The sequence below is a fragment of the Homo sapiens genome, chromosome 10, assembly GCF_000001405.40.
Source record: "Homo sapiens chromosome 10, GRCh38.p14 Primary Assembly".
NCBI classification, from domain to species: Eukaryota; Metazoa; Chordata; class Mammalia; order Primates; family Hominidae; genus Homo; species Homo sapiens.
This window is the reverse complement of record NC_000010.11, coordinates 22420227-22434891: the sequence shown is the minus strand read 5'-3', so window position 1 is coordinate 22434891 and position 14665 is coordinate 22420227.

The window sequence follows — 14665 nt, the reverse complement described above, 5'->3', positions numbered from 1 at the left end:
CTTCAGTAAGTGTTTTTAATGATAATGGCCACTGGCTTTGTGGCCTACTGTTTATTGCAATTTTGTCGGGCCTTATTCTAGGCTTCCCTTTCACCTGGGCTTCCCAACTATCTGTAACTTGATCAACAGTAATTTGGGATGGGAATGGCCAGGGTCATATGTTAAATAGGGCAGTTCCACTTTTCTGACCACAAAATCCTCCCCTTCCTGACCACTTAAAAACTGTTACATAATCTACAAACACATGGCTCTAATAAGTTCTACTACATACCTTGCCAAAGGTCACACCTGCAATCTACCTTTCTATTGGCACAATACATTTTATTAGAGAATATTTTTATCGCTTATAATTGTGGCCTATCAGAGCACTTAATTATTTTTAATAACACATTCTGCCTTCATCCACATCATCATAGTGAATTGGTTTTTGCAAGGAAAACTTGGTCATCCTAGCATGTGAACAGTTTTTAATCTTTTTTTGAAAAATGTTTCATCTGAGATTAATTTCTGTTGGGAGCAAAAATGAAGCCAGGCTGTACACATGATGTGTTTAAATACATTTTCACAAAAAGAAAAATATTAAGAATATCTTGGGTCATAGACATGCAGTATCAGAAGGCATCCCAATAAACAAAAGTGAGAGCTCCTCTTTAATTCCTAGCACTTGATTATTTCTAAATATATAAGGGCAGATAATGTTCAGCAAACGTGCAGGTTTTACAAATTGGCTCCTTCAGAGTAGGTCATAAGCTTGCTGCAATTGTGTTCCCATTACTCAAACATTTTTAGAATTCTTTAGAAATTTGCCACAAGAGTCTGAGTCACATTCTTTTAAATGACATCATCAGTGATAGCAAATCTTCCTCCTCGGAGAGCAGATTTTTAGAAATACTCAAGTCATTTGAAACCACACTGAGTTTAGTAACATCATTTGGCAGGGAAAAATTGAACTAGAAAGAGTAAAAATAAGTGAACTGATTAATGGTTTTTTAAAAATTAAACTCCAAGAAATGGAGGATTAGGGAAACTTTGGAGCAGAAATTAATGATTAGAAACAATGTTTTTGATCAACTCCAAAGGTAATTCTTTGGAAAAAGATCAAGAAAATGGAGAAATCGCTGATGAATCTATTTAAAAAAAAAAAAAAGAAAAGAAAATATAAAGGAGAAAGGAGATATAACAGATATGGATACTTTTTTTTTTTTTTTGAGACAATCTTGCTCTGTTGCCCAGGCTGGAGTGCAGTGGTGCAATCTCAGCTCACTACAAGCTCCACCTCCCAGGTTCACGCCATTCTCCTGCCTCAGCCTCCCAAGTAGCTGGGACTATAGGCGCCCGCCACCACACCCGGCTAATTTTTTGTATTTTTTAGTAGAGGCGGGGTTTCACTGCGTTAGCCAGGATGATCCTGATCTTCTGACCTCCTGATCTGCCATGGAGACTTTTTATAAATTATATGAGACTGCTATGTGAAATTAGCTATGTGCTAAACATTTTTTTCTGGAAAACCATAAATCACCCAAATTGAATCTAGGAGTAGAAAAACTAAGTAGATCAAAGCTAGGGGAGAAATTTTAAAACGCCTAAAGACCAAGAGAGGCTTTAGGCAAATTCTTGCAAATTTTGAAAGACATAAAATCCCCTTTCTAAATGAATAAAGACACTAAAATTTAAGTTTTTTGTGAGTGAAACCACTTTTATTATAAAACCTATCAAAAATGGTATACGCCAAGCATGATGGCTCACACCTGTAATCCCAGCACTTTGGGAAACTAAGGGGGGAAGATCGCTTGAGCCCAGGAGTTCCAAGAGACCCTATCTATACAAAGAGTAAAAAATTATCTGGGCCTGGCTGGTGGTAGGCTCCTGCAGTCCTAACTACTCGGAAAGATGAAGTGGGAGGATCATATGAGCTTGATAGGTCAAGGCTGCAGTGAGCCATGATCTCATCACTGTACTCCAGCCTGGGTAACAGAGCAAGACCCCGTCTCAAAAAAAAGAAAAAGAAAGGGCACTCAAAAAATAAAAGTTCACATAAGAAACTCAATGCCAGAATTCCCCCCAAAATACCAAAAATGCCAGCAAATTAAATTCAATAAAGTCAGTCATTTTAAACAATCAGGTAGATTTTATCCTAGAAATGCCAGGATATTTCAATACCAGGAAAATAGTTTATATAAAAATACATTTAGATTATATAAGAATAAAAACCTTATTATCTCGATAAGTGATAAAAATCTAGCACCTATTCCCAATTAAAACAACTATATTTTTTAAAAACTTTTAGTAAATGTTAAACTGATAGCCAACATCGTATCTTTTAATAAGATTTTATAAAAATAATAATGGTACTGGTAAGACAGCCAAATTAACTTTACACCTTCTCTCTGAAGGCCTCCTGAGTAGCTGGGATTACAGGTGCACGCCACCATGCCCAGCTAATTTTTGTATTTTTAGTAGAGAGGGGGTTCCGCCATGTTGGCCAGGCTGGTCTTGAACTCCTGACCTCAGGTGATCCACCCGCCTCGGCCTCCCAAAATGCTGGGATTACAGGTGTGAGCCACTGCACCTGGCCTGCTTTTTATTTTTTAATTTCATAAAGTACTTTGTACATCTTCCCACATCAGCACATATAGACCTACCAAAATTTTTCGTAGTGGTTAAGTACAGTTATATGAATGAACCGTGATTTTTCACTCACCTATTAGGGACCATTTAGACTATTTTCTTGTTTTCTGCAATTACATACATTTAGAGCATCCTTGAATGTCTTTGCCCATTGATGCAGGTGTACTTGTTGGATTAATGCCTAGCAATAGAATTGCAGATCAATATTTGGATAGCTATTTCCAAATTAATATTCAAAAGACTGCATTAATTTATAATTCCACTAAAAGTGTGTTCAAAAATGTTGATAATTGTTGAGGCTAGGTGAGAGGCACATTAGGCTTTCATTTACTTCTGTGTATATTTTTAAATTTCCATACTCAATGACAGACAGGCATTTTCATTAAAAGCAGGTATAAATATGCCTGCTTTCACCACTATTATTTAAAATTATGCTGAAGTCATTCTGTAATAAGACAAGAAACAGAAATACTAAGGAAAATATTGCAAAGCAGTAGAAAAATTGCATTTGCAGATACTTTTTGCCTAGAAAACTTAAGAAACTTGATTGAAAATCTATTATAAAATAATTATTAAAATCAATAACTTTCTACTGATCTAGCAATAACCTATTGGGAAATATAACTTTTTTGGGGTGTTGGAACCTGGGAACAAATATATGTCTTAAAAAGATTCTATTGACATATAAATAATATTGGCAAGAACTGAAAGGGATTTATACAAAGAAAAAGAGAAAAAAATGAAAGCAAAAGTATTTGAATAGATTGAGAAATATATTATGCTCCTAGACAAAGATATCTATCCCTTAATTTGCAATTGTAACTAAAATTCCAACGGGACATTTTTAGAAGTTGAAAAAATGTATTTCCATCTGGAGGAAAAAACAGAGTAGCCAGAATACTTTGAAAAGAAAGAATAATAACATGAGATTTACTCTACCAGATGTTAATACATATTATAAAGCCATAATAATTACAATAATATTGAACTACTGAGGAAAGATTGACAAATATTTCAGAACAGATAGCCCTGAAAGAAAACTCAATATTCCAATAAATGAAGCATCACTAATGGAGAAGACATGGATTATTCAATAACTGGCACTAGGAAAACTGGCCAACCATTTGGGAAAAAAAAATCAGATTACATGTTCATTTCATGCAGTCTACTGAAATACTTTCCAGATAAAAAGATAAATGTGAAAACTGAACTATAAAAGAAGTTAAAAAAAAAATCTAAATGGATAGCTAAGTGATTTTGGGATGGGAAAGAACTAACCACAAAACAATGGAAGAACTCATAGATTTATCTGCAATAATCATTTAAAGCATCTGTATACCAAAAATTATAACAATATCAAATTAGAAGTTGTGAAGTAGAAAGATATTTGTCATGACTATCATAAAGTGGAAGAGTTAGTATTTACATACAGGTCCTTAACAACCCTTTTGAAAGAAGAAATCCCAAAACCTTTTGGGCAACAACAGCATCATTGAGCTTAAATTCAGAGAACCACTTTGAGAGGAGAGCTCATTTGGAAGAATCACTAACTTACTGAATTTTTAGAATGTTAGGTTTTTATTGTATGTTTTGTTTTGTTTCTTCTCACCTCATTTCCTGTGTTCAAGGTAACATCTGGAAATGCTTTCTTCTCCAGTTTATTTTTCAAAAGCTTCCTAGAATATTATACTCCTTATATCCTTTGGAAGAAGTTCAGTTGATCTCATTACAACCCCAGGGGTAGATACTCTTACTATTCCCATTTTCCAGATTAGGAAGGAGGTATTTTTGTGGCTTTAAGCATAAGTAGGCGGCAAACTGAAAAAAGTTGACATAAACAAGTCATTCGAAATAAAGTCATTAAAGGAGAATCCAAGCCCAGTGAACACTATTTAGAGAAAGAGAAACAGCTGTTAAAAGTACCTGGCAATCCTCAAAAGACATGTGCTCAGCCAGGATCCCTACACCCGCCCTCATCCTTAGTTGTGACAGACCACGCCCAAGGGTTACAACCTAGCTTTCGCCTCGAGCTAGAGAGAGATGAGCCTGTGAGGGGGTTACACCGACTTCAAGGGGGAAACACCGTCTGATCCCTGCACTTGTACTAGCACTTACTGGGGGCTTAAAACTGAAACTGTCCTAATCATGTTCTGACCTCATAATATGCATGAATCCTCTCACGTAACCATCACCAAACAACCCCAGGATTTAAGTACATTTATGATCCCCATTTTCCACTTTATGGAACTGAAGTTCCACAGAAAAGTTACATAGCTTGCTGAAGTTCACACAGCTAGCAAGTTGTATAAGCTGTATTTGAGCCAGGCAGGTAGCTGGGGCTGGAGCAGAAGCTCCTTGGCTATGTGAAGCCAGTAGCTATGTACAAAGCCCTTTCATACACAAGAGCTCATTTGACCTTCACAACTTCTTTGTGATGAGGTCAGGAAATATTCTCCCCAATTTACACTAAGACAACGGGAAGCTAGAAATGTGTTATTGGAATTAATCACCTTTTAAAAAAAATATCTGAAAGAGACAGAGAGCAGGGCATGGATAGACACGTGGTAAGGAATGACTGGAGGGAAAACAAGGCTTAAAAAGCTTGAATCACAGAAAAAAAAAGTGCCCTGAACTTTAAATAGATTAAACACAAGCTGCATTGAAGGGAAGGGAGCTGGGGAACAGGCAGGGGAAGGTTATCCTGAGCACAGCAAGAATGAAAATCATACCAGTTCATGAGCCAGCAAGGGGTTTAATAATACTAGATAATAAACATTGAGAAAAATCACACCCATAGCATTTCCATTATTTGGAAGCTATCTACCTTCCTGAAATACTAACTCCTAGTCCATGTCACTGTTTAAGACTCATGCTGTTAATTTATGTCTGTTTATTTACATGACCTTTGTTAGTTTAGATAACAAGACCGGAAGTTGTGTACAAACCACTAAGATGAAGTTCCCACTGAGCAATAGGATTTTCACCTAGCTTTTAAATACCATCATGGTAATAAAGTTTGTACAAATACTTTTAGAATTTGTTCACATAGAACTAAAACAACATCCGTTAACCTCTGAACTTGTTGCTTGTTTTTTCGATCACATTTTTTTTTATTCTGAAATACTGTGAGTACAAAGGAACTTCACAAGAAACATGCATGTTCTGAGAAACTTACTTTTATAAAATGATTCATGCTAAACCCACTAGCACTCCATCTGTTTAAAAGTAGGAAAATAAAGAATCCTTTTGCTATGACTTATGACCTCCTCATTTATCGGATTTTGTTTAAGTCCAGTTTGACGGGTATCAGAACAGATGCATATATATTCTATACTTAGTTCACAATGTTTAGTTCTTTGGAATTTAAAATCAATATGCATCATCAACTATAAGGGAAATTCTTTTATCTACCGTAAATGACAGCATTCCCAAGTTGGATGAAATGTTACTTGGTAGCATAGGATTTATCATAAGAACCTTGTCTGTGTGGTATTCGTATTCAATTCAACATTTTTTAAATAAGTGTCCATCTAAATCCTCTCTCAAAAGTGAACACATTTCCTATAATCAGCCCTTCTTGACCTTCCTTGCCTTCTTCAAATACGTATTCTTTCCTTCTATAATTCTGTCCCATCAAAATCCTTCAGTGAGACCTGTAGCAACCAAACAGGTTTTCAGTATGTGATCTCAAATAGTTTTAAAAAAAATTGGAGGATTGTTCAGACTGAAATATTTTGGCTATGCCTCCAGGGGAAAAAAAAAAGGCACTCTTAATCCATGGTTATAACAACATTGTTCTGTTTTTTTTTTTAATTGCCAGTGTTGGCATGAATGAAATATAGGATGACTCATCCAATGAGAATTTGAATGCTGGCGTAAAACCATAGAGAAAATCCAGGTGAGTTGAAGGAGAAAGAGATCAGGGACTTGTGAAGAAAATGCAGTCAAAAAACAAAAAGAGAGTGTCTATGAATGCAGGAAAACAAACAGCAGGTTTGAACTCTAATAGTTAAATCCTGCTAAAGGCTACTGACATACGACACCAGGATGGGAGAAAAGCCAAAGGGTGAAAAGTTTCTAAGCTGACTATTAAATAGATGTAACTCACTGACGAGTGTGCCCATGTGGGATTTTAATTACTCAGACATCTGTTTGGCAAGTGTACTACTAAATAGGGATCAAATACAGAGATCAAATTACATGGGGCAGGGAGTGGAGATGACATTCATGAGTCAGAAAGGAGAGCTATCGGCCAGGGGAAAATCAATCCCGGCTTTACATCTCACCAACAGAGAAGCAATTATTTTAGATGTGGGGCTGGTTAGCATCCTAGGTCATGAATTTAATTAAATAACCCTCGAGTGGCAGAAAACAGAACAAACCACTGTATTTAACTGTCAGTAAGACATGCTGCAAATAAATGGTCCAAATTCCTCCTTTTTTCCTTCCCTCCTCCCACATAGATTTGTTGTAGTTTTTCTTAAATTCACAACTCTCTTCCCTTTCCTAATGTAGCCTTCTCAGTGGCATCCAATAAATTCATTTACATACATGGCTTGAATCAGAGGCAGGGTTTGTCTCCAAAATTCCCACAATGGGATACTTGGGAAGGGGCAGGAGGGGAGAAAGGCACGAATTAAATCACCATTTGAATTCCTTCCTTAGGTTCAATAAAAAGGCTAATAATTCACAGAAATATCCTGGGATCAAAGAGAAGACCCTGTGGCCTCATTGGACATTAGTAGGTGCCTTGGAAGAAGCAGAGGCAGGAGACACAAAGGACTTCAAGTGATTGGAACAAGAACTGTAGAAGACATACCTAAGCACAGGAGAGGGGAAAGAGAGCGTTCAATTGCTTTTGAAATGAGTATTTAAAAACCAGCCTCACTCAGGGTGGCCCCTTGCAGTCCTCTGCTGAGTCAACTCTCTGCTTGGCAGCCTCTTGTCCATAGCTGACTCAGGGCAGAAAGGTGATTGATTGCCTTAAGAGCCTTCCCCTGACCTCTCCACTCGGCTCTCCTTCCTCCACCCCACCATTCTTCCAGAGCCCAGCTCAGATCCACAGGTTTCTCCAAAATGCCTTTCTTCCATTTGCAGATAACAAAAACCAGTTGGAAAGAATATAGGTAAAAGAGTAAATTTACTGGAGGGAAGCGTCTTACAAGGAAGAGTTGAACAACTTAACCTCCCTCAGGGAGAAGTAGCCCAGGGCAGTTCCCAGGACCTCAGAGGCTGAAAATCACAAGTGCCTCCAAAGGGTTCGCTGCCATTAATGATTTAGCTACCAACTCCCAACCACTGTCTCTCTGCGCAAATCTAAAATTCCTGGGAGAATCTGATTGGCACATATACACATGCACTCACACACACACACACACACACACACACACACACGCACAGTATGTATTCAAGCTCAAGCTGTTAAATAAACTCAGAAAATCATCCTACAATGTGGCTCATTCCTTCTAAACTGGTCTTTTTGCTACCATTTTAAAGTTCTAAGAAGAACTACCTCAGATACCGTTAACCTGAGTTGAGCAGGTGTGGAGGATGGTAGAGCCAGATTCCCATGCCCAATGAAAACAAAGTGGCAGCGGTCCTGACAGAGTAGATCTTGAAAAGAGCTTTTTCTTACTTGGGCAAGCTACACTTTTAAAGTGTCTTGCCCAAATTCCCCTCAAGGGTTGCCAGCAACCAGGATGGCTCGTGGAACTTTGCAGCCTCATTCATTTATTCAATAATTATTTCTTGATCTCCTGCTGCGCACTAGGCAACTATGCTAAGTGTTGTGCTGGACACAAAGATGAATCAAGCATGGTTCCCGTTCTCATGGTGCATAAACATAGACCTGCATCTCTTGTGTGAGCAACAATCTTAAGGCCTTCTAAGAATAATTTTTCATATGAATACTGATTTTTAAATCCCCCCCCCCCCCGCCTTGGATGAGAAACCTAAAAATTGTGCCTGAACTGTGAGGCAAGGTCATTTGTTAAGGTTAAGATTTCACTCTTGGTATTCAGAGCCTTCATTAGGCTACATCAGATGAGAACTGAGATGGCTTCACAATTAACCACAGACAGGCATCATTTATTTTTACCATGTAACTTGGAGGGTATGATGGTGCTGGGTGTGGAACTACCTTTTGAAAAACCACTAATGTTTTCTTTCACCTCTGAACCAAATAGATAACTGAGCATAAGTTAATTTTTAAAAATTCTAGCCATTTACCTTACCTTCATTTGGGAGCACAATTGGGAAGATGCTTGGCAGCTAAGCTCCCAGAGGCAATACAGGAGCTTCTAATTAGCAAGGACTGCTAAGGCCACAGAGAGTCTACCCGGGCTATATATGCGAAGTGTCTGAACTTCTGGTTTGGATTCACATCTGAGAAAATTTGATGTTCTGGTTTGGTTGGATTCCAGTTTGAACCAGTTGCCTATGTGTTCTCAAATTTGGGGTGGGGGTGCTCAAATTATGGTGTCAATTTTAAGATTTAGCAAATTATTAAGACTCATTCTGGTTGTGGGTTGAGGATTTAATTCAGCTCATATTTGTGGTTAAGGATATAAAACGTGTGACCAAAAATCACAGCAGTTGGAGGATGGGTTTGTTGGCCCTTGGTCCTAAAGAGGAGATATGGGTGGAGCACTAGAGTATTATGGGCCACCCTTTGTGCTACTCAGATCCACTTGCCGCTTGGGGTAAGTTCATCCACCCAGTACTCGACAATTCCAGGATTCTCATTGGCCTTTATTACTGGGGAAACTTATAAGGTTAATCAGCAAACTATAGTCAGTGCAGCTGCAATAGATCTCAAGCCTGAGGTAACTGACATTTCACCCTTTTCTCTACCCTGTCCTCATTCTAGAATTGCCTCAGCCACTGCCAGCAGCCATGTGGTCTAGGCAGACTGTCTGATGGGGTGACCCAGACCCTTGACTCCAAGATTCTGAGTCCCTGGTCCCCATGTCTATCCCAGCCCTAGCTTCTGTTCTTGTCTGCTTACTGTTAAAACTAGATATGAGAGCATCAGGAAACATCCCATCAGATCACCTGTGTGCCAAACATTCTTCCCTGTGTTCTGTGACAAAGTTCTACCTCCTCCTGATGATCAGGGTCAATGGTCTTGCTAGTTTAGTGACTCTTTTTCCACTGGTCTCTTGGCATAAGGAGACTGAAGTGACTGAGTGGCAGCTGTAGTGTGAAGTACAATGGGACTTTGTGTCCACTGATGAAGTATTACCCCAGTGAAAGCCAAGAACACTTGACCCACAGAATCTAAAGTTTTGGGGACAGGAAGCACAAATTCCCCAAATGTACCACAGGAAATGACAGTAAGCAGAGCCATGCCTACTTCCCCCTTCTCCCTATAGTTTCTGGACCTATGTATTCTACCTACTGGGGACATAGCACCATATAATGGCATTGATTTAGGGTGGTATCTCAACCTTGTGGGGGTATGTTCTCCAAGCTGGAGCCTCAGTTGCATCTTTAAGAGGACAGTCCACCATTCTATCATACCAGTAGCTCAGGAATGGTGCAATATGTGTGATAGGACCAGTGGACTCTGACCCAAGGCAGTATCATATGGAATCTAATACCAGTGGATCAAGCATTCTTAAGTCCTTGGGTAGTGGTACTGGCTGAGGTCCTATGGATAGGAAAGGCAAATTCATGCCAGAATATACAACAATCCCAATCAAGATGAATTCTTGCCCTTTCCAGGGTGGAAGAAGTTGAAGTCAACTTACCTCCAAATGGTTGGTTGGTCTCTTTGAGGGATACTACATTGGGGTTTCTGTTATTGACAGGTTAGACATTTGGCAGCATCAGTGGCAGTAGCTGGATCAGATTTGGTGAATGGAAGTCCATGCTGTTGGATCTATTCATAGCCACCATCCCTGCTACCGTGGCTACTCACTCCATTCATGTGCCCATTATGCCAGCACTACAGTAGCCAACGAGAGAGGCTGCTTCATGCATGGCTGAGTCATGAATGTTGTTTGGTGCCTTTTGGTAGTGGCTGCTTTGATGTGCATTAATATATGACACAAAGTTCTTCACACCTTATATCCATACCAATCCTTCTGCTTCTAAGCCCCTGACCAAACTACCACCCCATTCACCACTGTCCATGAGCCTGCATATGTTCTTTACCTTGAACCACTCTTCTTTTCACACAAAGTGGATGACCAAGTGCATCCTGTGGAACTTTGCCTATTGGAAGGATTTCTCCCTCACCACCCTCTTTTAAGATCACCCTAAGTAGGGCTGTAGTGCAGCAGCATCCATTTTTGGCTTGCACTCTTATGCTGAGCCAGCCAGCTATGAATGAAGGTCAGCACTTTTCTTCCTCCATCAGCTGGTCACAAGGGACACCTCCTTGCAGCCGTGGTTATGAGCTGAGATAGTTGTGAACACCATAGTTATAAACACCAGTGCAACAGGAGTGGATGACATGCAGGTCTGGGCCACCAACTGGTACAACTTACTTGTGTCCTCTGGCCCAGCTCATGCCCAATCCTGTATCTGCCACTTCCATTTTGTGATAAATTGCCACCAGGCCCATCCAACTTTATAACTTGGTGGGTCTGACAGAGCCAGCTGATGATGAATATCTCAGGTTCCATAGTTACTTGATGTCTCAGGGTCAGGTGCTTCATTTCAATCAGGGCCCAGGGGTCTGCAAGAATTTCCTTTATTTATTTATTTTTTTGAGATAAGGTCTGTCTCTGATGTCCAGACTGGAATGCAGTGGTGTGATCATGGCTCACTGCATCCTTGGCCTCCAGGGCCCAAGTGATCCTCCCACCTCAGCCTCCCAAGCAGCTAGGACTACAGACACACATCACTACACTCAATATTTTTGTATTTTTTGTAGAGATGAGTTCTCTCTAAGTTGCCAAAGCTGGTCTTGAACTCCTGGGCTCAAGCGATCCTCCTGCTTCGGCCTCCCAAAGTGCTGGGATTACAGGTGTGAGCCACCACAACCAGCCAAGAACTTTAGAATGGTATATTGTTGTTTACTACAGATAATATGGCCCTTCTCCAGAATCCTAGGGGGTCTATGCTGTGATTCTCTTATTGAGATTGATCACCAGCAACTATCCCCAGCATTCTTTCCCACCACAGATTCCTGTAATACCATAGGGTCTGTTGAAGGATATAGCAGGGCTTCTTGTACTGCTGTCGAGACCTACTACAGAGCTCCATCATCTGGTAAAAGGGTTGGAACAATATTCTGAAGTGCTGGAGAAATAATTACTAAATATACTTGCTCAGGTGCTTTAGGTTCTGTTGTCATAAAGATCATCCTCTCCTTCACCCAGTGGGTCCCAGATCTGAGATCTGACTCAGGTTTGGGAACTGAGCTAGTGACTGACTTTTTACCATGACAGCTGCCCTCAGCCTCATATTTTTATTTTAGAAATTGATACTTGTCGACTGCTCATTTATCTTGCCTCTAGGAAATTCTATTAAGCATTTTCATAGCTCTCTGTAGAATGGGCCCCTGGATGCCACATCAATCTTGCCACTCATTGCAAAAACTGTGCACACCTTGCTTCTGACAGTTAAGTCTTACTACTTGGCCTCTGTTATTTCAGGATCCTATCAGCCTTATTTCTGTTAAGGAGCCCAGTTCTGTAGTAGTGTCTCCTCCAGTCAACCCTGGCATAGACAAGAGTGCCTCCACTAAGATTCTCAGTGACTATAACCCTCTTAACAATGCATTTCTTATCATCTTACTGAAGAAAAATATGGGAAAACGTTGACATTCCCTTTGGCACTTTACTCGCTTGTATTGTTTGTATGACTTAAACTATACACGCAAACAGAAATAAAAAAACAGAACACTCAATATAGGTTACAATAGTTTTCATAGAGTTGGACTTCTTTATATCCAAAATGTGCTTTGGTTTTGCATACATACAATGTGGCCCCAAATTTGGTAAATGGTATGTCCTCCGGGACATACCATCAGCTGGTGGGTTTTCCATCCCCACATAGGCTATGTACTCCAGCATGCCCACCTCTCTGAGTCACTTGACACCTCTTCCAGTTGGCCCTGGCAATTATGGCATTTCCACTTCACTTGCCATGGGCTGTTGCTGCTTTCTCCAAGCTTCCAAGAGTCATCTTATCACCCTTGCCAGAGTGATAAATCCTGTGTCCTGGGAGAGTGCTCCCGTTATCAATAAACTCTCCTTTATCCAACTTTGGTCAGTCTTCTCCATGACTGTACAGCTAGCTATGAAAATGAGCCAAATATTTCCTTTTGTGTTCAAAATGGTACTATGATATCCCTTCATTAAGGACTGTCTGGCTAGAAGAGAGGGACACCTGTTATGTCCCAACCCAGGTTCTGAGATGAAGAAAATGAAGCCCAGAAGTGTCGCTTTCCGGAGATCTGCCATCTTGCAGTGATGATACATTATTAATATAATATTTTTTATTCAATTTTTAAAGTCAAGATGAAAAGGCCATATGGGTTATTCCAAAATGTGCTTTGGTTTTGCATACATACAATGTGGCCCCAAATTTGGTCTCACATACAGTGTTTATAAATGCAAGAATAATGGCTTAATTAGCATCTCTGCTAACTTAGATTGCAGGTTTTATTGCAGAGCACACTTTTCTGTGGGGGAAGGGGGAAGTGAGGGAAGTAGTGGGCAAAAATGTTTCCAGGTGTTGCAACAAAATGCTGATTCTTTTTATTGATATTAACTTTGACTCTGATTTTTTAAAATAAATTTCTTCATCCAGTATCATTGTTTATCTGAAACTCTTTTGGAAATCCATTACAAAAGTGAAAAGAAGAGTAGCAAATATGATTTATCAAGCACTTATGTGCATGGTCACACAGGTTGTGTACTTCACAAGGGCACCAGCACTTCTCAGGGGGCACAGTTCACATATTAGACATCACAGATTTCCATATTTATAAAGATAATTTTCCAGCAGATGGCAGTAAAGTGTGTTGCTCTAACAAAATAAGACTATTACAATAATTTCTGCCAGATGGAAATAAACTATCTTGAGGACTGGGCACCTTTTATATTATACAAAGATATATAGAGTAACGGTGGCACCATTTACTACATGCCACACCTTCTGCTGGCTCATCCTCATTTAATCCTCAGAATCTGATGTAGTGGGTGCTATTAGCAACTTGCCAAGGCCACTGACTGGGGTGGTAGTTTTGACATTCTTATACGGGTCTACTAAGGCCTAGAGACTTGAGGAGACTTGCTGTGGTCAGAGCTAGCGTGACCTAAGGTCAACCAGAAGCCTAGAGGCTCTTACTCTCAGTCCAACCTGCTGCTGGTTCTCCTGTGTGCTCATCACAGTGCTGGGTGACACTGGGGACTGAGAACAGGACACATTTCACTCATCTAAGTAAAAGGTCATCTTCAGTTAGTGAAGAAAAATATGGGAAAATGTTGACATTCCCTTTGGCACTTTACTCGCTTGTATTGTTTGTATGACTTAAACTATACATGCAGACAGAAATAAAAAAACAGAACACTCAATATAGGTTACAATAGTTTTCATAGAGTTGGACTTCTTTATATCCAAAAATACTTTGAGTAAATCATTTACTATCAGTAATGCATAAATTTTAGCAAGAGTGGGCCAGGCGCGGTGGCTCACGCCTGTAATCCCAGCACTTTGGGAGGCCGACGCGGGTGGATCACGAGGTCAGGAGATCCAGACCATCCTGGCTAACACGGTGAAACCCCATCTCTACTAAAAATACAAAAAAATTAGCCGGGCGTGATGGCATGCGCCTGTAGTCCCTGCTACTAGGGAGGCTGAGGCAGGAGAATGGCGTGAACCCAGGAGGCGGAGCTTGCAGTGAGCCGAGATCATACCACTACACTCCAGCCTGGGTGACAGAGCGAGACTCCATCTCAAAAAAAAACAAAAAAATTAGCGAGAGTGTATTACCACAAATTCTATATACGTGAGGAAATTTAGAGGCTTTATTTAATGTATAAATATCCATACCAAATCACTTTGCAATAATGATATATAT